The 27,330-nt window shown below is 43.0% G+C and overlaps 1 protein-coding gene across 3 annotated transcripts in view, besides 8 other annotated features; it reads right to left on the bottom strand.

Annotated features, from left to right (window-relative positions):
• The window catches only part of PARP14 (poly(ADP-ribose) polymerase family member 14), a 50,002-nt gene extending 27,283 nt beyond the window's left edge, over positions 1 to 22,719 (bottom strand). For all 3 annotated transcript variants that reach the window (XR_007095695.1, NM_017554.3, XM_011512929.3), the window contains exons 1-6: positions 22,488 to 22,719; positions 18,240 to 18,373; positions 16,445 to 16,478; positions 11,015 to 11,257; positions 7,896 to 8,132; positions 1,923 to 4,168 (exon numbers count right to left, since the gene is read on the bottom strand). Coding sequence is in view for 2 of the 3 variants with exons in the window: in NM_017554.3 (NP_060024.2) it covers positions 1,923 to 4,168; positions 7,896 to 8,132; positions 11,015 to 11,257; positions 16,445 to 16,478; positions 18,240 to 18,373; positions 22,488 to 22,674 (3,081 nt within the window). In the remaining variant the exon portion in view is untranslated. The remainder of the gene's footprint in view (positions 1 to 1,922; positions 4,169 to 7,895; positions 8,133 to 11,014; positions 11,258 to 16,444; positions 16,479 to 18,239; positions 18,374 to 22,487) is intronic.
• Positions 1,968 to 2,468: an enhancer, noted in NCBI's record as "H3K4me1 hESC enhancer chr3:122419937-122420437 (GRCh37/hg19 assembly coordinates)". NCBI's record gives its function as "activates a minimal SCP1, AML or CMV promoter by ChIP-STARR-seq in naive H9 embryonic stem cells {active_cell/tissue: H9 hESC(naive)}" and the evidence as "EXISTENCE:reporter gene assay evidence [ECO:0000049][PMID:30033119]".
• Positions 20,306 to 20,495: an enhancer, noted in NCBI's record as "active region_20386". NCBI's record gives its function as "activates an Ori minimal core promoter by ATAC-STARR-seq in GM12878 lymphoblastoid cells {active_cell/tissue: GM12878}" and the evidence as "EXISTENCE:reporter gene assay evidence [ECO:0000049][PMID:35858748]".
• Positions 20,516 to 20,595: an enhancer, noted in NCBI's record as "active region_20385". NCBI's record gives its function as "activates an Ori minimal core promoter by ATAC-STARR-seq in GM12878 lymphoblastoid cells {active_cell/tissue: GM12878}" and the evidence as "EXISTENCE:reporter gene assay evidence [ECO:0000049][PMID:35858748]".
• Positions 21,981 to 22,070: an enhancer, noted in NCBI's record as "active region_20384". NCBI's record gives its function as "activates an Ori minimal core promoter by ATAC-STARR-seq in GM12878 lymphoblastoid cells {active_cell/tissue: GM12878}" and the evidence as "EXISTENCE:reporter gene assay evidence [ECO:0000049][PMID:35858748]".
• Positions 22,322 to 22,371: a silencer, noted in NCBI's record as "silent region_14644". NCBI's record gives its function as "represses an Ori minimal core promoter by ATAC-STARR-seq in GM12878 lymphoblastoid cells {active_cell/tissue: GM12878}" and the evidence as "EXISTENCE:reporter gene assay evidence [ECO:0000049][PMID:35858748]".
• Positions 22,436 to 23,208: an enhancer, noted in NCBI's record as "H3K4me1 hESC enhancer chr3:122399197-122399969 (GRCh37/hg19 assembly coordinates)". NCBI's record gives its function as "activates a minimal SCP1, AML or CMV promoter by ChIP-STARR-seq in primed H9 embryonic stem cells {active_cell/tissue: H9 hESC(primed)}" and the evidence as "EXISTENCE:reporter gene assay evidence [ECO:0000049][PMID:30033119]".
• Positions 22,612 to 23,011: an enhancer, noted in NCBI's record as "active region_20383". NCBI's record gives its function as "activates an Ori minimal core promoter by ATAC-STARR-seq in GM12878 lymphoblastoid cells {active_cell/tissue: GM12878}" and the evidence as "EXISTENCE:reporter gene assay evidence [ECO:0000049][PMID:35858748]".
• Positions 23,612 to 23,731: an enhancer, noted in NCBI's record as "active region_20382". NCBI's record gives its function as "activates an Ori minimal core promoter by ATAC-STARR-seq in GM12878 lymphoblastoid cells {active_cell/tissue: GM12878}" and the evidence as "EXISTENCE:reporter gene assay evidence [ECO:0000049][PMID:35858748]".

Genomic DNA, 27,330 nt, shown 5'->3' with positions numbered 1-27,330 from the left:
AAAGAGAGCAGTCAAAAAGTAATCTATGAATGGTATGGCATCACTGAAGGAGTCCAGAGAAAGCTGTTTCAGTAACTAGTGAAGATACCATGGGCAATGTGGGGTTTGAGAAATGGGAAGAATTTCAGCAGGCAGAGCAAGACAGGGAGCAGCATGAACATAGGCATGGTGGGTTGTGAGCTGTGAACAGATTAATTTGATCTGAGAGAGCTTCTGCAGCAAAATGGTATGCTCCAGGCTAGAAATGTTACACTGGGGGTAAACTAGGGGGCCCACCTCGAGTGCCAAGACATCTGGACTCCCTGACAGAAAGGGAGCAGCCCCGGAAGCTTTTTCATCAGTGAATGTGAGCAGATTAATCGGGCTAGATTAGAGAGGTCAAGAGAACAGAGGAGAGGGAATGTAACCAAGTGATTTTCAAAGCTGCCCTGCCTGGGTCACTAAGGAGTAATGCAGAGCAGTTATTACAGCCATGGAAGCTAAGCATCTATGGGAGTGAAAGGAAAGCAAACTATGACTGTTTTTTGTTTTTTGTTTTTTTTTTTTGTTTTTTTTTTTTTTTTTAAGAGAGAGGGTCTTGCTCTGTCCACCCAGGCTGGAGGGCAGTGGCATGATCATAGTTCACTGCAGCCTCAAACTCCTAGGGTTCAAGTGATCCTCCCACCTCAGCATTCCGAGTAGTAAGGACTACAGGTATGAGCCACCATGCCTAGCTGGGAAAGAATGTCTTGATATTTGGTGTCAAAAGAGACAAGGAATGAAATTCATTCCCATAACTGATGCTTGGTCCAAAGAGTTTTTATTTAATTTTTTAAAATGAGACACAACATTATTTTTAACATTTTGAAAGAGTGCAATGGTTAAGAGCCTGAACAAATTCCAATCCTGGCTCTACCATTTGCTAGTTGGGGGATGTGGGCAAATTACCTAACCCCTTTAAGTCTCACTCCCTCATCTGTAAAGTGAGAATAATAATAATCCTAGAATCTGCCGCATGGCAGTGAATGAGAACATGCATGTCAAAAACAGCACAGTGCTGGCTGGACATGATGGCTCACGCCTCTAATCCCAGCACTTTGGGAGGCTGAAGCAGGCGGATCACCCGAGGTCAGGAGTTCAAGACCAGCCTGGCCAACATGGTGAAACCCCATCTCTACCAAAAAAAATACAAAAATTAGCCAGGCGTGGTGGCATGCACCTGTAGTCCCAGCTACTCGGGAGGCTGAGGTGGGAGAATCACTTGAACCCAGGGGGCGGAGGTTGCAGTGAGCCGAGATGGTGCCACTGCACTCCAGCCTGGATGACAGAGAGAGACCCTGCCTCAAAAAAATAAAAAGAAAAAGAAACATATTAGCCTCCCTCCAACCCCTGCCATGCCCCTGCAGCCTACAAGAATTGTCCCCACATATTGCCTGGCACCTGTAACTTCCTCAGGTCCACTTTTCACTTCCTCACTGGTGTTGGGCGCTGATGGCCCCTTAGACTCTGGCCCCAAGCTCACTCTTGCTCAGCATCATTGACAAGATTCCTGTCCTCTGCATACCCTATGCTCTGATTGTTCTGTATCTGCTGTCAGTAAATTAGGAAATTAGTCTTAGATTTACCAAAACACGGCAGGTGTAAGGTATAGAGAACTGTCTAAACGTGTGATATTATGGAGTTTTACATCTACTGGAAATCTAGCAATCTGACCTCTATACCCTTTCAGTTCTCACAAATAATTGGCCGATCTCTATTAGTAAATGATTTGGTAAGAAGCCCAATTATCTAAGGAAAATTGTTTCAAGGCAGGGGTGGAAGGCATGGGATTCTCTCCCTTGATTCTCACCTTGGTCCTTATCTTTCTTCAGCCCTCCATGAGAGAGCCACTGACTAAGTAAAGTCACAGTGCCCTGGTGGTGTTCTGTAAAAGCGACACTCACCTTAGCATTCTGCACACCCTCTTTCACCAACAGCATCTGCAGGCCTCCCGGGGACACCAGGCTTCCTTTTTCCCATGATGTTTTCCCAGGCCCCGCTGCTGCTGGTGGTAAACCTGGCGGGGCAGCTGTATCTGGCAGGGTGGCTTTAAATACAGTTTTCACAGCTTCTGCAAAGGCCTCAACAGTCTTCTCAGATACATCCACAAGGTAGATTTCTTTCAAGCAGTGTCCATCCTTCTTGAATTGGAAGTTTTCCTTGATGGCAGAAACAATGGTCTCCACGCATCGGCCTAAGGGAAAGCCAAAGACTCCAGAACTAATAGCTGGGATGGCTATGGATCGGTACTTGTATTTTTCGGCTAGACAGAGACTGAGTTGCACAGCTCTCCTTAATAGGTACACACACCTCGGGGCCTCATATCCGCTCCAGCGGGGCCCCACTGCATGGATCACGTGGTGGTAGGGCAGCTTTCCTGCCTTGGAGATGGTGGCATTGCCCGGTAGGAGTCTGCCCTCTCTCTTCACTATCTGGTCACAGTCGGCCTGGAGCTCAGGGCCAGCTGCTTTTGAGAGCGCAGCGGCCAGGCCACCATAATGCTTAAGGTCCTCATTAGATGCATTCACCACCACATCGACAGGAAGCCGTGCCAAGTCACCCTGCTGCACAATCAGCACAACGCCAGGGGCCAAGACTGTCCGAGAGAAGCACTTCTGCCCAGCGGGGCTGCCTCCCTCCTTCATTACTTCATTCTCCTGTAGTTCAATGTAACAACCAAACAACCGTTTGATCTCACTTTGATAAAACCGTGCTTTATCCTGGAAGAACTGCTTGGCTCCTGGCTTATCAGTATGGACACTTTTAACACAGACTGAATCCCAGACTTGCTTGACAATGTCCACTGCCTTCAGTACTTCGGTCTTTGAGCCAGTTAGTAAAATGCCTTTTTGTTTGTTCTCAGGATTGAAACTTACCTGCACATTTACCTTCTTTATCTTTGGCCAGAATAGCTTCTTTTCTGTCTTTAAATAGTCAATAACTAAGGAAGGCTTTACTTCAACCAGTCTCTCTATTTTCATGTTTTGTTCAACGAAGTTAAAAAGCAATTTATAGGTTTCATTTACTTCTTTTACACAGCCTGTAATGATGACTTCAGCTGTGGTTTCTGAAGTTAACTCATTGATGATTACAGTGTTTGGGGAGGAATTTTGTTTCTTAAGCAAATTGTGAGTGAGCCCTTTCCATTTCTTGCCATGAAGAACTTCTTTGTTCTCAACTTCAATGCGCTTATAATTTAAGGCACTGAGCATTTGCTTTTCTGCTTCTAACAGGGCTTCAGAAGAACAGCTGGTTAAGAGAACAGTTGTACCCTCTAGCTCATAAAGTGCAAGAATCTTCTGTGCTATGAAAAGACACTTAGAGAATTCTTTCCAGTTTACCTGTTGCAAAAACTGAAAAATCTCAGGAGAAACCTGAATGTTTTTCTGAGCCATGGTGTACACCTTTTCCTGGATTTCACACTTTGCTTTATACACATCTGCACTAGGTCCTTTCAAGCACAAGTGTTGAGTGACTCTATCGTAACAAATCTCTATCTCTGGGCACTCCGTGAGTAAATGGTCCAGTAGACTGCTGTGACACAAAAGAAAATACCTGCCTGGAGAAATGATCATTTTTTCCTTCAAACTTTGCTCTTCCCTTTTAATTTTTTGAGTAGTGCTTTCTATTAACTCCCTGACTTGTACCTCAATGCTTTGGACATCCTCTGATTTCCCTGCTAAGATTACCATCTCCTTAAGTGTATCAAACTCAATCAAAATCCTGTCATCTTTCACATCATTTTTTATGGTGTCCCACATTGTTGGATCCACTTTAATTGGGTTGACTTTATATTTAGACCTGATGCTAGAGAGTGTTGTGGAAGTATCTGCCTGCCAGGTCTTGATTCTCGGTCTTCCTTCATTGACTAAGGTGGCTGCTGGTCTGATGGTAACTTTACCACTGAGTTGGGACCACGTGAGCTCACAGTGACAACGCCTCATTTCATCGTTTATCTCCTCAATGAGGTGATTCTTTTTCTGTAAGAACTTCCATAAGGGAAGATCTAGTGACTCTTCAAATGGTGCTGGAAGCTTGATCAGAGGCTTCTCCTTTCCATACAAGGCTGTGCCCAATGAGGCATAGTATGGGAACACAGAAAGTGGCATTTTATTGAAGTCGAGTTTTGTGGCCATGATGGTGTCTAACACTTAAAAGGAAAGAAGTAAAATAATGTAAGCCCAGGATGATATATGGCAAATAAAAACAAAACAAAATTTTCCTATTTTAGAGAAAAAAAAATCTAATGTTTTTCTAACACTTAAAGGAAAGAAATAAAACAATGTAAGACCAAGATGATATGTGGCAAAGAAAAACAAAACAAAATCTTCCCATTTTAGAGTAAAAAAAACTAATGTTGGTAGAATTTTGATGTTACAGCGTATTAAAAAGCAATATACTCTCAAAGTGCTCAAATATAAACTGATATGTGTTAGCAGTGCACAGGTATCCCTTATTGAATGGAATAATTACTTTCTAGCCAAGATCCATCTATGTTGAAATCTTGTTAATTAAATTCTGTTTACTGTTTTCCTGATATTACTGATATATCACCATCATGTTAAGAAATACATGAGTTTGGTCACAATCGTGAGAATAATGTTTGCCCTAGTATAAAAAATATTTTGGTGCTCAAAGTATAAAAAATATTTTGGTGCTCAAAGTGAAGCTCACCTTAGTATTATGCTATTTGTTCTTCTTGTACAGTCCTATAATTTTAGGCTTCAAAGTTGACTTAGATTAACATTAATACCTCAAAAAGGAGGAGCATAATAATAAATTATTATAGCTTAGCATGTGTCACACACTATTCTGAGTGCTTTACATATATTTAATTCATTTCATCCTCACAACAACCATTTGAGGTAGAGACATTATTATTATCATCCTACTAAAACTGAGGCTAGGAAAGGTTAGATAACTTGGATAGGGTTACATAGACTGCAGATAATTCAGCTGAGATTCAGTGGTTGTCCAACCCCAACGCCCATCCTCTTGCCCCTCTACCAAATCCAAGTTATCATCACTGTCCTCTGAGAGCCCAGCCCCACAGACTATGATTCAGTAAGAACCACACCTCCTCCTGGCCCTGCTGGAATCTCCCTTTTCCACTTCACTGGGTGTGTTTGCATGTGTGTGCATGTGCATGCTCTTCTCTTCCAAGCCCCTCCTCGTTTTGTGTAAGTTATTAAGCAGAGCATCTGCAGAAAGGGAATCAGAATGTGCTCCAATAACAACTTGGGTTAAAAGAGCAACCTTTGTGGAAAGATGTTAAAAATAACTTCACCTTGTGTATGATTGGGTCCTAGAGCTGGTATCAAGCATGAGGGAAAAGCAGTGGCCTTCAGAGGCCCAAACATATAGCTTCAACTTCCCTGTGGCAGCCCTGAGCTTTATAGCTTCAACATGGCTCTGTGGCAGCCCTGAGCCTGGGCAGTATTTATGATTACCAACTTACTGAGCACCATCAGGCACCAGGCTCTTTGCTGGTATTATTTCATTTCAACCTCACAGCATTCCTCTAAGTAACCAGTAATGTGAACCCCATTTTACAGATAAGAACACAGAGGCTTAGGTGGGTTAAAGTAACTCGGCCAAGATTACAAAGCTAGTAAGCACCAAGGCCAGGAATCAAACTCAGGTCTGTCTGACTCAAGAACCATCACAGATGTCACCTTAATATGCCTTAAAGTCTCCATCCTGCTTTTCTTGTCTGTAAGGACAAAGTTTATCTAACTGTGCAGATTATTAATGGGATTGTGAGATACTGTAGCAGAAAAAACAGCAAAAGATCTTACAGACATAGGTGTTCAATGAAAATTCTCTTAAGAAATAAAACAGATTTTGTGAAGTTGAACCAAATAATTTTACAGTAAAATGCCTAATTTTTTCCTTTCAAGAAATCTACATAAAACACAATATTGTACAATAAATTCTCTTTTAAACCAAGCTCTATCTACCATCTGCCTCATTATTGGCAACCCATTGTGAATGGTGAAATATCCTATAAGAAAAATTAACGTTATAGGTGAACAGGAGATTTGGAAAGAGGAGAGAAGTTAGGGTATATGTTATGGGACCAGAATACCCAAGTTCAAATCCTGACTATGTCACTCACTAGCTGTGTAATCTTGGGCAAGTTATTGGACCTTTCTGTGCTTCAGTTTCGTCATGTGCAAAACAGGGATTATAACAATCAAGATGCCCATAAGACTGTCTGAATGCACTTGGTAATAACCTGCGAAGCTATGCAAATGTAAGTTAAAATTAAAAGAAGGAGAAGCTAAGCTGGGTGCAGTGACTCACGCCTATAATCCCAGCACTTTAGGAGGCAAAGGAGGGAGTATTGCTTGAGCCCAGGAGTTCAAGACCAGACTGGGAAACATGGCGAAACTCCATCTCTACTAAAAATACAATATATTAGCTGGGTATGGTGGCATGCACCTGTACTCCCAGCTACTCTGGAGGCTGAGGTGGAAGGATCACCTGAGCCTGGGGAGGCTGATGCTGCAGTGAGCCATGATCATGCCACTGCACTCCAGCCTGAGAGACAGTGAGACCCTGTCTCAAATACATAATAAAATGAAAATAAAAAATAAAAAGGAGAAGCTAGAGAACATAAAAGAAAGTCAGTAAATCACAGATGGTGGAGGACAGAGAATGAGTGAGTTTGGAGGAGGAGGTGTGGTCAAAAAAGTTAGATGGTGCAAAGAGATCAGGGAGAAAGGGAACCTTTGAGAGTGCCTCATAGAGTTTACATGAATAGCTCTGGCAGAAAATAAACCTTAATTAAATAGTACTTAACATTAGTTGTATATGTGCAGAATAGCCCTTCTGAGGACAAACCCAACAGCCCCATGCCCTAAAGATGTTTGAAAGCCCTGAAAATATCAACTCTCACCACAAACTGGGAGGTTAATTTCTAGGGTAGAGGATTTTATGTACCCCTCTCTCTCCCTGGGCCCAAGACCAGGCAGAGGGAGATTTGAATATGTGACAGAAGCTCCTCTTTGTCCCTTTGCCCAAGGAATAGTAGGTCTTTCATTCCATTTTAATTCAAACCATACTTTCATCCAGTTTTCCCAACACATGAAAACTGAGTTGGGAAAAGGGAGGTTCCTTCAAGTACCTTGTTGAAACAACTTCTCTCAAGTGGGTGGCATACCACATTATCCTATGTCATGCCCCACCCTGATTAATCCCAGGCACAGTTTTCCTTCTTTTCCCAAGAAGCCTGGCCCCCTAATTCCTTCTGCTCAGCCTTGACTTCTGAACACAAGTGGAACCTCCAAGCTGACCTTGCATATGCCTCAGAGAACTGGCAGTCTATATCACAAAACACTCAGAAGTGTTTCTCTAAGGTTCAGCTAGACATGGGTTTCACAGGGTCACTCCAAACAATAGTCCAGCAGGCATCCACTGGTCATGTGAAACCACTCCTGTCCATTTTTGAATGATGATACAATAGGTGAAAGGAGTGGTACTTTATAGGAACTCTATGAGTTGCTGAGTATTTCTTTACCTAACCTTGTCATAATTAATTTGAGAGCTTCTATCAAGTGTGTGGCTAAAACACAGATCATCTCCTTTTTAATATATTATTTCAAAGATCCCAAGAATATATTTTTCAGCCCATCATAGGTAGAGACTCATGAAAAAACCTCCTTATATCTTTCAAAAACTTGATTTTGCTTCTCTAAAGTCTGAATCACTGGCCTTATTAAGCATCATATCGCAGATGAACAGGATTATTTATTCAATTCCCAAAGAAATACATAAATAAACAAATAAAACACATCAGAACTAAATTTATAACTATTAAGCTCTGCTAATAATGGCCTAGATTATGCCAGGTATGACAGGTTAATAAATATTACCTTTTCTGTCAAAAAATTCAATCAGAGCTGAACTCTCTTCAGGAAAATATTCAACATTGGCAACTCTTCCCCCTCCATTATAGGGATTTTCAAAGAAAAGTTTTAAACTGTAGTCATCAGCACCAGGTGGCAGGTTTTCAACCCTGATTGTGTTTGTCACTTCCAGAAGTCTTGGAGAAAGCTGAAGTTGTTTAATTGAATGGTGCTTGGTACAATCATCAACAAATCTTATAGTATCTACAAACCAAAAAAAAAAAGAAAGAAAATCAGTAAATTTTTATTGTATCTTTATGTTGTATAGAAGAAAATGTCTGGCTACTAATTGAAATAAAAGGAAGAGCTAAGCACTCCATTTTTAGACACAAGATTTTAATACCTACATGAGAATTTACATACCTAAAACTCCCAGTCGCTGGGCGACACACACACGAATGTCTTACTTGGATTGCTGCCACTGAGCTGTGTCCCCACTTCCTGCCCCAGACCTCACCAACCCTCCTGAGGGTTTTCCCTACAAATCTCATTTCACCCCTTTCTCAAGCCCTTCAATGGCTCCCCATTACCTGCAGGTATGAGCGTTGACACTCCTCAGCCAGGTGTACAATGCCCTTGGTGATGTGACTCGAAACTAATTTCCAAGCATCACCTTCGGTTATTCCCTGCCATTCATTTTATTGTCCGTGTTGCCACAAAAACTAGTCATTATTTTTGTAAAACCCCTTCTCCTTGAAAGGGTCTTTGTGTATACAATTTCCTGCATTTGGAATGCTCTTCTCTAGTTTTTGTCTTGATCCTATTCATCTTTTAGGACTCAACTCAATTGTCTCTTTAATAATAAGTATTGGCCGGGCGTGGTGGTTCATGCCTGTAATCTAAGCACTCTGGGAAGCCAAGGCAGGCGGATCACCTGAGATCAGGAGTTCGAGAAAAGCCTGGCCAACATAGTGAAACTCCGTCTCTACTAAAAATACGAAAATTAGCCAGGCATGGTTGTGCGCGCCTGTAGTCCCAGCTACTCAGGAAGTTGAGGCAGGAGAATCACTTGTAGTGAGCTGAGATCACGCCACTGCATTGCATTCCAGCCTGGGCGACAGAGCAAGACTCTATCTTAAAATAATAATAATAATAAGTATTGATGGTGGGCCCACGATGTGCCAGGCACTGTGCTAGGATCTGAGGATACAGAAATAAATATAACAAATCTTTGCCAGTGCATCATCCATGTGGGAGCAAGTCTTGAGAGCAAATAAATTGCCTATTGTGGGATCAAATGAGGTGGGAAGACTAATACTGGGAATCAGACAATGGTTCCCAGAGTAAGTGGCTCTGATCTGGGTTTTGAACAATGAAGAGGGGTTTACCAGATGGATAGGGAAAGATCTATGTCAAGCAGATGGAATATATTCTGGACATTATGAATATAAACTTCACAGAAGCAAGACCAAGCCACCTTGTTTGGGTCCCTTTCCTCCCATTTCCCACAGCTTTTTGTTCACAGCTTAGAGACAGCTTCTTCTCTTGGACCTTCTTTATTTGTTTACATATGGGCTTCCTCCCTGACCCCAGGCTATGAGTTTCTCAAGGGCAGGAACCTGATTATTCATCTCTGTGCCCACAGCACCTAGACCAGTGCCTGGCACATATTAAGCATTCAAGATTCTGATCGATGAACAAAAGCAAGTCCATTTAGTTTTTCCTTTGTAAGAAACAGTAATAAATTTGAAATAAGAATAGCTCCCTTTCAGTCATTACTACGTCTCAGGTACTACGTTAAGTTGTTAAGCACTTTTCTTTTTCTTTTCTTTTCTTTTTTTTTTTTTCAGACACGGGGTCTCACTCTGTCACCCAGGCTGGAGTGCAGTGGCATGATCTTGGCTCACTGCAATCTCTGCCTCCCAAGCTCAAGTGATCCTTCCACCTCAGCCTCCTGAGTAGCTGGGAGGACGGGTGTGCGCCACCATGCCTGGCTAATTTTTGTATTTTTTTTGTAGAGATGCAGTTTCACTATGTTGCCCAGGCTGCTCTCAAACTCCTGGACTCAGGCAATCCATCTGCCTTGGCCTCCCAAAGTGCTGGAATTACAGGCGTGAGCCACTACACCTGGCCCTATGTTAAGTACTTTTCAAACATTATCTCATTCAATCTTTACAAAAACTATATTAGGTAGGTATTATTGTACCATTTTATAGATGAGGAAAGTGAGGCATAGGGAGGATAATAACTTGGCCAACCTCATATAACTAGTTAAATGGCAGAGCTGGAATTTTGACTCCATGACCTGTGCTCTTAACCGCTCCACTGCCATGGCCATGGAATAGTGAAGGCTTAGAATTGGAAAATGTACTTGTTTTGGGTGGTGACAGCTCTCTTCCCAATCTCAGAGATTGTCTACAGATTCCTGACAATTACCTTAAAGAGCACTCATTGTCTGCATCACACGCACTTACTCATACCTACATATGTGAATGACCATGAAAGTGCTAAGGACATATCAGGTAAAGAGGTAAGAGGACAGGTGTAGAGATAGGCTGCCTGGGTTCAAACCCAGTTCATCCATGCATTCGCACCTTTGTGTTTTGTCTCCCCAACTGTAACATGGGGATCAATAATAATAATCTCATAAGGTTTTGGAAAGGACAAATAAATTAATACACGTAAAGAGGCTGGCATAGCACCTGGCTTATAGTAAGCACTCTATGAGAGTGTGTTATCATTACCTTCCATGAAGTCCAGTTTGGTAATACAAATATTTACTTCACCCAGTGAGATAACACATGTGAAAAAGCCGACTCCTGTACTTGGAATCACTTGGACTTCAGATGTCTATTTGCTGTGTTCACGCACTTTCTTACCCTCTCTGCCTGTCTCTCTCTCTCTCTCAGTCACACACACACACTTGGGCACTCCTGCAATAAAGTTAATTCTACTAAAAATATGGAATTTGGTTTCAATATGAATATGCTTCACTTTCAAAATAAAAAAAACTATATTAACTTGGAAACCTCTCTTAGTAGCTACTAGAAAGAGTCAAACTTTCAGAGATGTCCCCCTAAGAGGTATCTCAAGTCTCATGATGTGGTACAAAGAAGACAGGCAGAGGAAGTGTCACTTCATCTTACCTATGTGCTTTTGAAAGGTAACAACAGCAACATCAAAATCTCTTATTATTTCCACTTGAAAGTCATCATTAGACAGGCCACTTATGTTCTCCACTAACAAGATTAGCATTATGTCAGTCACATTTGCCTTGAGGTTTTCAAATGCCACCAAAGAGGAAATATTTTCACATTCCTCTGGGATATCTTCCATTTTGTCTAATCCACCATCAAGAGGGAGTTTTGTATCCAATTCTTCTGACACATCTGATTTTAGGAAGACAAAAGAGGTACAAGATGTTATACTTATCTACCATGGTCTTAGCAAAGTAAGTTATCACAAGGCACTGCCCTCTCTCCTTGCCAATCTCTTGGCTAACTCACAGAATAACAGACCTTGGATGGCTTTTTGCTTTATTTAAATAAAAACAACATGTAACATGTAATTGCCTATTATTAAAATTCATATTTTTAAATTTTCATTTTGACAAAATAGGTCTGTATTTTCAAGATTATAGGCATTATAGGGATAAAAAGATTTTCATTTATTGCTGGTGGGTACATATATTAACCTCTGTGGAAATGAATTTTAAAAATTTGTCCAAAATTATTAGTGATAAGAAAAAATATTCACATTACTTAGCTAAGTAAATAGTCATTTATAGAACAATTTACATTATAGGACTATTTTTATATGTGAATTTTATATTAAAATTATACATAATTGAAGTTTAATTTTATTATACCCTTTTCTGCCTGGCCTTTTTGAGGAACCTGCCTTATATTTCCTAGCACTTGATATCTATTTCTAGCACAGCACCAGACTAAAATTATTCAACAAAGCTTCTCAAAAGCGAGACACATGTTTATTCATCCTTGTATTGCTAGCATATGGTATATAATTGAGGCTCAGTAAATGTTTGCTGAATTGGAGATTTACTGCTTGGGTCACTGGAGGAAAGCAAGACTATCTGATGATGCCCAAACATGGGTATCACCTAACACATTATACTCCAAAAAATAGTTAAGTTCCCATCACTGAAAAGAAAAAAGGATCCCTATAGCAAATGATTAAGGAATACACACAGAAAGTGAAATGGCCAAGGCCTGCTGTATACGAAGCCCGCTGAATGGCAATCACCCAGCTGACTCATTCCTCTCCACTGTTGACTGTAAAAATGAGTTACACATACACACAAGGTCAGTCTCACTGTATGCTTGTCCACTGAAGCATGGTGGGTACGATCTGATCTTTAGGCATTCTGTGGACAGTTTTTCAATGGGGACTCTTATCGTGTTCAAGACCCTGGATGTAAGGAGAAGTAAGAATATAAAAAAACATTAGTTAAGAAATTTACAGATTTTCTAATGGAGGTATATGAGGAAAATGACATGTGTAAATGTTCGCAGTGGCCACATAAAATGCTCTGTGTGCACCAAATCCATTTTGCTTACTTCCTGGACAATATTTCTCAAGTTTTCTGCAGTTCAGTTTCAACAGTAGTGTCCCTGCAGTTAATGGAATATGGGTGGAAGTGAATTCCACCTTCAGGCCTGGCCAATATAAATATCCTTAATATGAAACCCCATTCTCCCTTGCAGTGACCTTGGAAACCACATTTAAAGATAATGGTGTCAAAGGGTGGAAGGAGCCTGGGTCCCTGAATGACCACATGAAGTGACTGACACTCCCACCACCATCACAGCTGCCAACTACACTGAACTGTGATGCGAAGGAGAAATAAACTTGTGTTGTGGCCAGGCGCAGTGGCTCATGCCTGTAATCCCAGCACTTTGGGAGAACGAGGCAGGCGGATCACTTGACATCAGGAGTTCCAGACTAGCCTGGCCAATGTGATGAAACCCTGTCTCTACCAAAAATACAAAAATTAGCCGAGTGTGGTAACACACGCCTCTAATCCCAGCTACTCAGGAGGCTGAGGCTGGAGAATCGCTTGAAGCTGGGAGGCGGAGGTTGCAGTGAGCCGAGATTGTACCACTGCACTCCAGTCTGGGCGATTCCGTCTCAGAAAAATAAATGAATAAATAAACAAACAAACTTGTGTTGTGTTAGGTTACTGATTTGGGAGGTTGTTTGTTACAACAGTTAGACCACTCTGTTGTGTGCTGGCTATCATGCCATGCACACACACTCATGCTAAATTAAAAAAAAAATAGCTTAAGCATAAAGCAACTACATAAATTAGCACTAAGTGAGACAGGTATGACAAATCACAATGACTGCTGGGCTAGGGAGGAGGCTATATGTGTTTAATCCCTGCTGCCACTCTTTAGCCATGTGACCTTGGGCATGTCTCTTAATCATAAAATGAGGGTATAGGACTAAGTGAACTGGACTGAAAGAATCTTTCCAGCAATATAGTTTTATAATCCCATCAATATTAGACGCTTCACCACAAGAAAGGCTTAATTGACCAAAAAAGAGCATTAACAATCAGGCCAAGAGTCCCAGAAAGAGATAAAAGGGCTGGGCTGGCATGGAAAGACTTGAGAGAAGAGGAGGAAGTTCAGCAGGTCTTGAAGGGTATGTGGAATTGGGTAGAGAAAAGTGGGCTAGAGGGAATGGTGAGCAACAGAAGCACAGGCAGAGTGCTGCAACTGCATCAGACAATTTAGAAAACAGTGATTTGACTGATGTGGCTCAAAAGGCGCACAATTGTGCAGAATGAAGAAAATGAGGCCAGAAAAGCAGACTAGATCCAGAAGGTGGTCTGGACTTTATCTCCCAGCTTGTGGTAAGGGTGAGTCATGGAAGGTTTCCATGAAAAGGATGGCAGGCTATTTAGCAATAGTGCAAAGGGCTGGTCAGGTTTAAGGAGAAGGGTGGCAGACACAGACAGAGCAGGCAGGGAGCTCCTGCCATGTTGAACTTGTGAGGTAAAAAGGAAGGGCCCGTGGTGAGAGAAGGATGGATAAGGAAAACTTTAAAAGAAAATGAGGCTGGGTGCAGTGGCTCATGCCTGTAATCTCAGCACTCTGGGAGGCCAAGGCGGGAGGGTCATTTGGGGCCAGGAGTTCAAGACCAGCCTGGGTAACATAGTGAGACCACGACTCCACAAAAAATGTTAAAAATTGGCTGGGCATGGTAATGCATGTTATAATAGCCCCAGCTACTTAGGAGGCTGCTGTGGGAGGATTGCTTGAGCCAGGGAGGTCGAGGCTGCAGTGAGCCAAGACAGCCTGAGCAACAGAATGAAACCCTCTCTCCAAAAACAATAAAATAAAATAAATAGGTCTCTATGATCAGCAGATGTGAAAGGAGTGATGCGTGAAATGTCTAGTAGGTGACGAGCAGACTGATTGTGTACTTCAAGAGAAATGAGGAAGCCAGAAAGGGCCCTTGCTTGGGGAGGAAGATGACACATGTGGCTTCAGGCATGTTGGCTCTAATATACTTCCCAACAGGAAGGTCAGACAGAAGTTCTGGAATTGAGAGAGGAGTCCAGGCTGGGGATATGGATTTGAAAACACCAGAATTTCCGACCACAGGTAAGCAGTATTTCTCTGCTCTTGCCCTTGTCTCTTCTCCAGGACCTTCCAAGTGCTGGTTTCCACCTTTCAGACCCAGCCCAACTAAGCTTATCCTGGAACAGGACATTAGCTCAGTGCTGACTTCACCTGATCTTGGTGTGTGTGCCTTTCCCTGCCCTGTCAGCTCCTGCAGACGCCTCAGTTTTAAACTTTTTGCATGAGGTTTCGGGCATGCTTAGTGCATTCATGGTGCAATGTCTTCTGCACCAGGGCTGTTGTAATTATTAATTATGAGTATTGGTTGGTGGCGTTGGTTGTGGTTCATTGTCCGGAGAGTACGTTCCCCATCCCTGAGAAACAGAATCCAGTCAGTACCTATTCTCCACCCACACTTTGCTCAGTTCTGAAACTGTCTACCCCATTCCAATTAATTTCAAGAGTCCCAGCCTTAGGGCCATAGTCAGGGATCAGTGTGGGGTAACCATTCAGCAAAGAACCTCTGCTTCCTTTAAAGGAGCCAACTTAAGTATCTGGTGTAGACAACCCAAATTCCTAGCTGGCTACTATCCTTAGAGTCCAGGTCGGGTAAAAACAGGTTAGAAAATGGGCCTAAAATTCCCAGGACAATGAAAAGTCTATTGGTGGAAGGGGACTGGGGCTTTCGCTGGGAATACATTTGGGAGTTTTAAGCAAATTTAAAACAGTACTAACATGTCAGTTAAGACAGAGTTAAGGTAAAAATCTATGAAGTCATAAGAAACACAGATGTGATTAAATTTTAGATCTAGGGCTATAGAGCAAGAATAAATATGCACATATAAAACCACTTCCTAGTCTGAAGTTGAGCTTGACGGTATAGCGCTTTGGCATCTTCCAAGAAGAAGATAAGGATTTAGGAGATCCCAACGACAAACACTGGGAGCTGGGGGAGCCAGTTCGACAAGTGAGGAATGGAAAGCAGGAATTACTCTAAAGAGACAAAAAAAAAAATCCTATTTCATAAAACTCCTGAGCTGCCTAAGAAAGCCATGCATACTAAATTCTACAGTTTTAACAGGACATCGATATTAGACAAAAATAAGCCATATATCTCTATCCAATCTTTTTGCCAAATATAGGCAGCTCTCACTCTAGTGCCATTTTCCAAAAGAGAAAGTTGCAGAAAACTACATGTTCTCAAGATAATTTCAATATTACAGGACAATGATTATACATTGTTCATTTTCCTTAAGGTTTAGGTATATGTACCACTTTATCTCTCTAGCTCGGTTCATTCAGTGTAGTTCACTTCCTACCCTTTATAATAGCATGCTTAGCTATGAAAACTAGTTGCTTCTTTAGTGAATGTCAAGTGGCATGGCAGCTCAATGCCCAGACGCTAGTTGAGCATTGGAGTCCACAACAGCTAATTGGTCGCTGGCTGTTTCCTAGAGCAGATGAGATCAGAAGAGCTGCTGTCTTTGGGAGGACTGCAATCCTCCAATCCAATCCTGCACCAATGCTCAAAAGCCTATGTTCACAGAGAAGTCACAACTTCCTGTTTTGGCTCCAGAGCACAGCACCCTCACACCCAGTGCTCAGGAAGCAGTGCTCATCAACTAAGCCACATGTGACTCCCTTGGACATATCGTGTCCTTGCTTCTCTATGGCTGGCTCAGCACAAGTGGAAAGTAAAGATCAGCTCATCCCCAGCTCTCTGGCACTTCTTTGCCCTCCCCTCTATTGCAAGGTGTCTTCCAGTCCCCAGAGAGAGCAGTTCCAATCATTATGACCTGAGCGCTAAAAGCCACCCTCTGCACAGCTGGCTCAGAATATGAAGATGATGCAGTCCAAGGCAGCTCCCAGCGGAGCACATCCTGCATAGTGGAAGTCAAGAAGAGAGGGCTGACTCCCTCAAGTGCTGCCTTTAATAAATGCAAAACAGCTTGGTGAATGTCAGAGTCATCTCAACTGAGATTTTACCTGGTTCTTTAACATCTTCTTTGGTCTTGGATTCCTGAAACACAAACAATAAAGTAGCATTAATACATGATTAACAATTTATTTACATAAGAAAATGTCCCTGGGACCAGCCTGGAGATGGAGGGTAAATAGAAACAATAATGAAAAGGTCTGATAAGGGTGCTCTTGAATACATCTGGGGCCATATATAGTGGCATATTCACTTGCAAGTCACAAAAATCACCAATGAAGATGAGACACAAATAACAGAAACCTCAATTAACACCAAGCATTTGGGAATATGAGGTACATCCTACATCAGAGAAACATCTTAGCTCATAATTTTTCCCTTGTTTAATATTTATTGAGGCTGGACTTGGTGGCTCACACCTGTAATTTCAGCATTTTGGGAGGCCAGTGTGGGAGGATCGCTTGAGGCCAGGAGTTCAAGGCCAGCCTGGGCAACATAGTGAGACCCCATCTCTACAAAAAAAAATTAGGAAAAAAAATTAGCCAGGCATAGTGATGCATGCCTGTAGTCCCAGCTACTTGGGAGGCTGAGGCAGGAGGATCACTTGAGCCCAGGAGTTCAAGATTACAGTGAGCTATGGTGGTGCCACTGCACTCCAGCCTGGGATACAGATGAAAGCAGTCTCTAAAAAAGATAAAAATTAAATTAAGGACGGGTGTGGTGGCTCACACCTGTAATCCCAGCACTTTGGGAGGCCAAGGCAAGTGGATCACATGAGCCCAGCAGTTCAAGAGCAGCCTAGGCAACATGGTAAAACCCCGACTCTACAAAAAATACAAAAAATTAGCCAGGTGTGGTGGCATGTGCCTACAGTCCCAGCTACTGGGGAGGCTGAGGTAGGAGGATCACCTAAGCCCAGGAGGTCAAGGAGGCAGCAAGCCATGATCATGCCACTGCACTCCAGCCTGGGCAACAGAGTGAGACCCTGCCTCTAAAAAAGAAATAAATAAAACAAATACAAATAAAACATTTACTGAGTGTTTATTATATATAACAAGAACTGTGTCATGTGCTTTATACAGATCATCTTGTTCAACCCTCACAATAATCCTGCAATCTGTTGTTGGATCATTAATGTTACTATTCCATTTTACAATTGGGGTAATACTTAATACAGGTAGTATGGATTGCTGTCTCCTCAAAATGACATAGAAAATAAAACAAATATAACAGGTTACAGGTTATAAAGAACTCTGGAGACACAGACCCCAAATTTTACATCCAAAACCACCATTATTATAATCCCCAAATCTTGGCTTTTCCAAATGTGTCTAAAATCACATAAAAAGTACCCCCAGCAGGGTGCGGTGGCTCATGACTGTAATCCCAGCACTTTGGGAGGCCTAGGTGGGCCGATCATGAGGTCAGGAGTTTGATACCAGCCTGGCCAATATGGTGAAACCCCGTCTCTACTAAAAATATAAAAATTATCTGGGCATAGTGGCATATGCCTGTAGTCACAGCTACTCAGGAGGCTAAGGCAGAAGAATCACTTGAACCCAGGAGGCAGAGGTTGCAGTGAGCCAAGATTATACCACTGTACTCCAGCCTGGTTGACAGAGCGAGACTCCGTCTCAAAAAAAAAAAAAAAAAGTACCCCCTCCTACTTTATCCCATACTACCCTACCCTACCACTGCCCTCACTCCCCCTACATTTGTAATCTGCTTTTCTCGCTGCAGTTTGCTTCATGCTTTTCTTTCCACTATATTTTCTTCATGGTGATTCCCATCTCACACACCTTGGGAGACCTAAATCCCTTTTATTCATGCCTAAAGTTTACTTGCTTTTGTTAGAAGTTCCTCTTCAAAGACATGATCGATTTCATCTGGGGTTGCAGGTAACTGGACAGTTAACTTGAATGTTCCTTTTCCTTGCCATACCAACTCATGATTTTTTCTCTCCAGAACCTTCTGCCGAACTGAAATGTCCAAAGGGGGGAAAAAAGACAAATGACAAGCAATCTTTATTTACAAAATTATTCTATGATTTCCGTGGGCTGCATTACCATCAATCAATGGCTTGGTCGGTTTCTCAAGAGAGGCTATATGTGAAGTAAAAGAGGAAAAGTTTAGCAAGCAAACATGGATTTGAATTTCTTCCTTAAACTGACTTTTTAATATTGAGCATGTTCCCTAATAAGCCATACTTATAAGGCCTCAGTTTTCTTGTCTATTTGTAAGGTTAATGGAGACTGTTTTGTATGAGTGCCACGTGTATTAAATTGAAGAAACATTATAAAGAACTTGGTACAGGACCTGACACTCAGGAGGTACTCAAAAGGTAGCAATATTTATTCTATATTGAAGTGAATTAAATTAAAGCATCCTTCAATGGGAGCCAGTGAAGATTGGGTACTGGGACATGCCATGATGAAAGTCACGTTTTAGGAAGGTGGCTAGGTGGCTGTAAGCAGGAGCCTAGTTAGAAACAGGTCTCACATCTGATAGTAAAAGGAGTATAAAAGAAGGGGGAGATTTTTGCAAAAAAAAAAATGAACAAATTAATAGATTAGCATATCAGGCAGCTTGGCTGTAGTGAAACAACTGAACAGTGGACATAGAGTCCAAAGATCTGGATTTGAATTCCAACTCTACCACAAATAGCTGAGTGAATACCTTAACTTCTCTCAACTCTCAGTTTCCTCACTTAAAGTGGTGTCCATGAATGCACACTGTAACATCCTCAAGAACTACGCAGATGTGAGTTACGATTATAAAAAGGAGCAGCCAGAGAGATATGAAGAAAATCAGCATATCTCAGTCCATGAAGAACGGGAAGAAGTGAGTTTCAAGGAGGAGGCATGATCAACATAGTCAGATAGTACAAAGAGGTCAGGGAAAAAAGGAGTTTTTGAGAGTGCCCTACAGGTCACAGGTGTAGCTCTAGCATGAATGTTGGGTCACTATGCTGTGTTCTGATATGGCTGGCCTGATGAGGCCAAGGATATAGATCAGAATCTTTCATGAATAGGAGCATGATAGCTTTCCCACCTCAACCCTCTGTGAAGAGGGTGGAGGAAGTGGGGTCTTAATTGGATGCCAACTCAGAAATAGGCCTCAGAAACAACCTGAGAAGGAACGCCAGCTTCTAATCTCACTCTTTATGAGGAGGGCAGATGTTTCCACACAAACTCCTGAAGGGCTTTACTAAACCAAGGTGGGGATTGAGGACTGGATAGGACCCCTGCAGCCTGACAACAAGCTAAATTTTGTAAGTCAAGTTATTTAGAGTCATGGACCTCTGTGTTACAGTCCTTTTCTTATTCCCTAGACTTTGATAAAGTCCTGTCTAGGCATCTAAATGTGCCAGTCTGTTCTCAGATTGTGGGCAATATTTATGGGCACAAGTATTTCAGGAGAACAGTTGGTAATAATATGGGTATATGATCTCCAAAAAGGAGAAAGTCAATCTGGGAGGAAAAAGCTGAAACTCTGATGTCCAACCTCCCTTACCCAAGTGGACAGTCTTCCACCTGCACCAACTTTAGATCATCAACATTTAATTTTATTTAAGGAGAAGATGGGTTCTTACCACAAGGAACCCGACAACAACCAGGAACCAAACTATGTTGGTAAAGTATGATAAAATAGACACATCTGAAACAGGGCTTAAAATGTTATGTCAATTTACACCAACTTTTCAGAAATCCAGTGAACTATATAAAAGTGAGATACAGCTTCCCATTTGTTTCTATTTGCTATACATGAATAAATACGGAGAAGTGCTGGTGGGCTCATTCTTGTTATCTGCCTATTACAGTTTATATGAATCAAATCAGGTTATGCTATGGGCCCGCACCTGTTGAGGCCACTTCCTGGCATGGAGGGTGGAGAGTGTCCTCTGCAGAAGAAGAATGCACTTCTGGGACTTCAAGCGTAGGTCATTCATTGTTAGCAAATTCCTGACCCTTGTTACTGAGAAAGTGGTTCCTCAAGTAGGAAACTGAAACTGACTAGGGATTTTCCACCCCCAAGAACTTAGACCATACTAGGTTTCGAGTTTGTTTTTGTTTGTTTGTTTCTTTTTGTTTGTTTGTTTTTGTTTTGTTTTAGATGGAGTCTTGCTCTGTTGCCAGGCTGGAGTGCAGTGGTGCGATCTCACCTCACTGCAACCTCTGCCTCCCTGGTTCAAGCAATTCCCCTGCCTCAGCCTCCTGAGTAGCTGGGACTATAGGCGCACACCACCACGCTCGGCTAATTTTTTTGTGTGTTTTAGTAGAGACAGGGTTTCACCATGTTGCTCAAGGATGGTCTCGATCTCCTCAACTCGTCATCCACCTGCCTCAGCCTCCCAAAGTGCTGGGATTAACAGGCGTGAGCCACCACGCCCGGCCGGTTTTGAGTTTTAATAAGTTTTGGGTCATCTGTGCTGGGGGGTAAGACAAGAGGGGCCACTGGAGCAGCCTGGGGGTGGAGGAAGAGGAGTAGTGGGCTGGGGCCGGTCAAGGATGGAAGCCCAGCAGGAAGACTGAAATCTTTTCTGCTTGGAGGGCTAGAATTGAGTTATTTTATCATCACAAAATTATACTTTGTGCTATTTGTATTTTCATGCTGTTTAAATTTGTATAATTATTTCTTTTTGTTCATTTGGGGTTAACATTAACTACGGAAATTCTGAAACTTGAACACATTAGGGTCACCTGGGCTGCCGGTTAAATACACGCTTCCCACCCACCCCACATTCACTGAACCTGAATCTCTAAAACAGAGCTGGGAAGGTGCCTGGTTAACCTGCTCTCCAGGTGATTCAGATGCAGGTCAGACCTACTTCTAAGGATAATGGAATCTAAAGGAGAAAGAAGCATCCTTAAGGGCCAGATCGATGGTGATGCTGACCTCTGAAGTCAAAGTGGGGAAAACCCTCAAGGAAAAGTGACACCCAAAAGAGAAATGACTAATATCACACAGTTGCCCTTCTGAGCACTCCTTGGTAAAATTAATCCTAGGAAAACATGGTATTTTGTTTTCATAAGGGCCATGAGCCAAGCATATCTCCTGTCCCCCTCCTTCCTTCCTTCTGTGCGCCATTCTTTTTCTGTTTCATTTTTCCTTTTTGGATCCCTGCTTGGGCACTCTAATTGCATGGCCTCAGCCTCAGCCTCCTTGCCTCTCCTCTGGCCCGAATGCTTCTCCAAATCTAGCGACATGAAAGCGGAATTAGGGGTTGACTAGATCCCGATAGGTCATCATCCATAAGATGCCAGTGGAAAAGGTGCCCATTCTGGGAGCTGCAGGTCACTGGCTTCCCATTGCAGACCAGGGAGGCCCTTGAGCCAGCAGATCACCTCTGGGCTCTTGGCCCACCAAGTAGTGGTGGGTCTGTAAGGAGGGAACTTTGCCGACTTTCCCTCCAAAGCTCAAATCTCCCAACCCACAATCACTTCAGAATATCATCCTTGCTCCCAATCTGAGGGCCACTAGAGACTCGGAGAAGAGGCCCCGGCAGGCCCTCGACAATGGGCACCTGTGGTCGATCGACAGCCCCTCCAATGTGGCCGCTGTGACGGCTCTACGTTGACATTCAGGCAGTGTGATTTTAGGTAGCGCCTCTGCCCCTCTCCCAAGTGACCCCGGGACCCCTGGGAATCTCCAAGAACCACAAGGAATCTCTGTGACTTGCCACGTTTCTTAATCAGTTTCCTTCCCCACACAAGAATAATAACAACAGGAAAAGACAGAAAAGGATGATAAGAGGATAGACTCACTTCCACAACAACAACAACAAACAATAACACCACCACAACAGGGAAAGACAGAAAACGATCGAGGGATAAAGAGTTACTTGCGCGGTTCCGCCGCCACCTCCGGGCCGCGCCATTAAGCGCCTGGAAGCGCAGGGCGCCGGGGAACCGCAGCGCCCCGGGTGCGCTCGGAATCCATTCTGCCGCCCCCGCCCCCGCCCCCGCCCCGGCCACCTCCGCTACAGCAGCCGCCGAAGTCGGGCGGGTCACCCTCCCGTGCGTGCCCTGCCGCCATTTCCCTGGAGGGAGGGCAGAGGTGCCCCCTCCTCACCCCACCCCTCGCGCCCCTCACCGTCCTCCGGGTAGAAGAACACCAGGAAGCGGGATGGGCTCCTGGGATCCTGGCGGACCTCACACTCGCCGCCTCCCGACCTCTTCGGGCTCTGGAAGTACATCTGCAACTTGGTGTTCAAGTTCTTCGGGGGGTCGGGGCCCCAGGAGCCCTCGACCAGCAGCGGGAAGGAGCCGGGCACAGCCATCCTCAGCTCCGCTCTCCGCCGGACTGCAGGGGCCGCGCCAACTCCGGGCCGCTAACTTTGACTCTTTCGCTTTCGTTTCCTGGAAAACTCCCAGGCCTTGGTTTCCTTTTGCCTTCAGCCTAACACAGCGGACCCAGGAATGGCAGAGTCATCCCCCGCCCACCTCCCCACCTTCGCATTCGGCCCACAGCCAAGGCCAAAGTAACCCTTTGGGGCTGGCCAGCGGCGCCCCGGGAAGGCGGCCTCAGTTCACCTGTGCTCCACGGGCTCCCACACCCCCTCCTAACTCCGGGCCCCCTACCTGCCGCTCGCCCCAACCGCAGATCAAGTCGGCAGCTTTGGGGCACCAGACCTTGCCCAAACGCAAAGATCATTTAATTTTTGCCGCAAGCCGACCCTTTACAAAAGAATAAAATGACTCACAAACTGTGGCCCCTTTAGAATGTTTGCTGCCTATTTGGGGACTTTTTCAGCAATCATTGTGATTATCAGAATTTTACGTTGCTTTCCCTGTTTTGCTTTCTGTTCCTTGATCTGTTAATACTACATGTCTAGAAATGTGGGGGAAACAATTACACTCACAGTTTTTTTTGTGGAATATTTACTAGGCGCCATGCACTCACTCACTGAACCCTCGCTGAGCTCACGGAGCTATGGTGAACACAGTGGGCAATAGGTGCTCTGGGAAAGAATATACTTGTGTTCCTGGAACAGATGAGGAGTGGCTCCTAGTCCAGCTGTGGCGGCTCAGGGAGGGTTTATAGGGCGGTGACATGTAACCTGATAACCCCAGGATATCAGGGGATAGCCTTGGAGGGTTAGGAAGTGGGGTTCCACGGTGTGATTCACATGTACAGGATCACTCCGGCTGCTGCGTGGTGGCTAGAGTGGAGGCAGAGAGATCAGCCAAGTGGCTACCATAGTGTCCTAAGTGAGAGACAAGGGTGGCTGAGACTGGGGTGCTGGCAGAGAAGAACTGAGAAAACGAGGATTCTCAATTAATAGTGAAAGCAGGACTTGCTGAAGAATGTGAGCCTTGAGAGAAGGAGAAGCTCAAGGATGACTCCATGGTCAGCCATGGATGGCCCGTGCAAGTGGCTGGATAATAGTGGCATCTGCAAGAGGGGAGGCCGAGTGATGGGAGAGAAGCTGGGGCTGTGTGTTTCCTTGACCCCAAATAAAGCAGTGTTGCAAGTCGAGGGGGGCGGGGGGATTATCATTCCAGTGCTACCGATACCTCAGGTCAGAGAAGTGTCTGCTGGACTGCTGAGGAGCGGCAAGCATAGTCTCCTGGTGAGGAGGGAGGAGAGGGAGATGGCAGCTACTGAAGACTGAAAGGGAGGGAAGGAAGTGGAAGCAGAGAGCGTAACACGCTCTTTGCAGAAATGTGACCGTGAAGGGGAAGAAGGAGCCAGGCAGTAGGTTGTGGGGTTACAGGATCGGGCTGAATTTCAGAATGAAGAGAACCAGAGATGGGCCAAATGGTTTACCTGGCTTTTATTTCGGCTCTGTAATAATCCTAAACAGTACACAGATATTTTCTCCTGCCTCCAGCTTGCTACCTGCAGATGGCGCTCATCATCTGATCCAAAACTGCTCTGGACCCCCGCATGCGGAAGACGGGAGGACAAGCGCCCTCAGCCAGACTTGGTGACTGTTTCTCCCCAGGGCCTTTACATCTCATCCCAAACCACAACTAAAATCAGCACTCCTCCTCTCCCACTCTCCCCTGAGTTTGGGGTTCCAGAACTCAGCAAAAAGTTTCCCTTTTTCCTCACATAATTATTGTATAAGAAATAAAGTCAGAGGCATTTCTGGATTACTTTCGAGGATTTATTTAATTATCGACAATGTGTCTTACCACCGAGGTCTGCTTATCATGCCTGGGTGGACTGGGAAGGAGCTATCAGAGGATCAGGATGGCAGGTCTTGAAAGCCAAGGAAAGAAAGTTCTAGAAGGGGCAAATTGTTGAACGGCATTAGCTCCTGCAGTACTTTGTTTTCTGCAAGTTATTTTTGCCTTGTTCACTTGAAGAATGCGTATCCTCTCACAATTCTCTGTTTCCTGTGGGTATCTGCCTTCTGATCCTTTCTTCCTGGGAAGCACGTGTCTTCTCAGGGCCTGGGGTGGGGGTGGCCTGCTGTAGAAGTGGCCGTGTTCCTTGATTCTCCTTCTACTTCACAGCTACAGCTCATCTTAATGTAACAGCCCATGTCTGCATTTTTGGGCTGAACTTCCCTTTCCCTACTTCATCTAAATTCCCCCTTTTGGTTTCTCTACAAACTGCCGTAGCCTAGCATCGTGCTCTTTTGAACTTCTCTACCAACTAGCATCAGCCTCCTCATTTCTACCATTGAGGTATAAAGGAGGGAAAGGGCTGCTTTCCCTTCTGTCCTGAATCAGTGAGTTGTAGGTACCTCATGCCCACCACTCCACCTCATTTTGCTTCTGAAACTCCTGACCTAGTCACCCCAAAATAAGACATGGCCATACATCAAGGGAAAAGTACTCCAAGAAGTTCTACCCTCAGAGGGAGCCCCCTGATGGACACATCACAGTCTTTGGCCTTACTCCCTATGCTCAGGTACCTTTCAAGAGCTTTTATCTTCAAACCTCCATAGGGACAGTCTCCATACCCCTCAACTGGCCAGGACAGTAATTACTACTGATGCATTTTCCCAAATAGAAGTAATTTCGTTTCACCAATACTATGGTTGAGTGGGAGGTGGAGGTGGCTTCTCCAGAAGAGTCCAGAGTAGACTTGATCTTTCCGTGTTTGTGTAAAGACCTTTCCTCATCATGCAATTAGGTAACCATTGAATTGAACACACATGTGTATGTCTCAAGACAAGCATTCATTTTCAGTATAATCTAGATCATATTTTTTTAAATAGAAACACACAATATTTTACTACCACACTATATCATGCATGACACCTACCAGTAATGGCTGTTAAATATTGAGCAACCAGATTTTTGAAACAAAGTTTCCATGTGTGTTATGTTTATTATAAATTTTACTGATATAATGGTTGGATAACACATAATTTACAAATAATAACAAAATATATAATACTCTATTGTAGTTTCTAAATAGCTGATTGATTCTCAAAGAATGTTTCAAAGATTTTTGCCACAATTATATCTATACTAATCATTCTGGATTTTGTTTCTTTGAATTATTGGGCAGGGAAGATACTTAAGTATGGAAGATTATTGCTCTAATTTGGGTGAAATAAAAGTTTATTAGTGCAAGACAAACATAACTCATTTAACAATAAAGTTTGTGTTGGATATATATATATATATATATATATTTTTTTTTTTTTTTTTTTTTTAAAGCCATAGGCAAACTATGGTTGCCATTGAGGAATGAGTGTAGTTTTGACATAAATGTAAGTTGACACTTTTGTTTACATTAACAAGTAAAATGAAAGTGAAGCAATGCAGACATGTCAGAACCCTTATTTGTCAATGACATAATTCCTTCTTTACTAAATTGGATAATAATTTTCAAATACTGGAAGAATATTTCCTCAATTTTTTGTGCTTTTTACAATGTAATGGCTATAGATGTGACCCACTTTTAAATAATCTGCCCTGTTAGCAAATTCTCCATCACTTTAAGTCAAGATAACCAACAAAGCAACGACTCAGGCCCTGATGTGTAGTGTTTTTCAATTCCATGATGTAAATATTCTCACAACAGCTGATGAAGTTCCCAGTGTGATTTCAGTGAATGCCGAGTTGGAAAGAGATGAACAGTGGCACACCATTACAAATATCACAGATATTTATTATCTAAAAGCTCCAAGTCCTAGATCCATCAAAGCCTGAGGCAGGACGTTTTTATTGGATTATGGACTGCCTGGAAATGTAGCTACAGAGTCAATGTGGTAATCAAATTTAAAGAAAAACAACAAAAACTGTCAGAATCCAACTTGAAAATTGAAAGAACTCATTGAGTTCTGGGCTCACTTCCAGAACTGTCTGTGTCACCCACACACATCTCCATTAAATTCTTGAATAATAAAGACAGAAAGATATTTCCAGAAGTTTTACTCAGACATCTAATCTCACCTTTCTTCTTGGTTGCTACACTGACCTCAGATCATGAAACTCAAGGAATACTTTGTTTATGTTACTATTATACTAGAAGACAAAAGTATTTCCTTTGAAGCCTAAAAAAATATATAGCAAGGGAAGCCTAAAAAAATATATAGCAAAGGAAAAATATATAATGAAGACTGTGGAGAAATAAATAGTATAAGCCTAATTCTTCTATTCAGCCTTGTGGACAGAGTTAGGAAATAGCTCTAATTTCAATCAGTCACCACAGGTTCTTTCTCTCCTACTATTTCATATTTGTATAATTCTTATGATCTTCTTCTCATATGATTCTCTTGTATGAACCTTATCTCAAAGTATGAACTTTGTTTCCCAAGAACATTAATATATTTACTTATTTTCTCAATCCTTCATTACACACAACATAGTTTGGAATTGGAACTCTGTTATAAGCTGAATGCTTGTATCCCCCCAAATTCATATGTTAAATCCTAACTCCTAATGTGATGGGCATTAGGAATTGAGGCCTTTGGGAAGTGATTAGGTCATAAGGGTGGTGCCCTCATAAGTCAGATTAGTGCCCTTAT

Source organism: Homo sapiens, chromosome 3 (genome assembly GCF_000001405.40).
Source record: "Homo sapiens chromosome 3, GRCh38.p14 Primary Assembly".
Lineage (NCBI taxonomy): Eukaryota > Metazoa > Chordata > Mammalia > Primates > Hominidae > Homo > Homo sapiens.
Note: the sequence above shows the minus strand (reverse complement) of the source record. Positions and strands in the feature narration are given on the sequence as shown.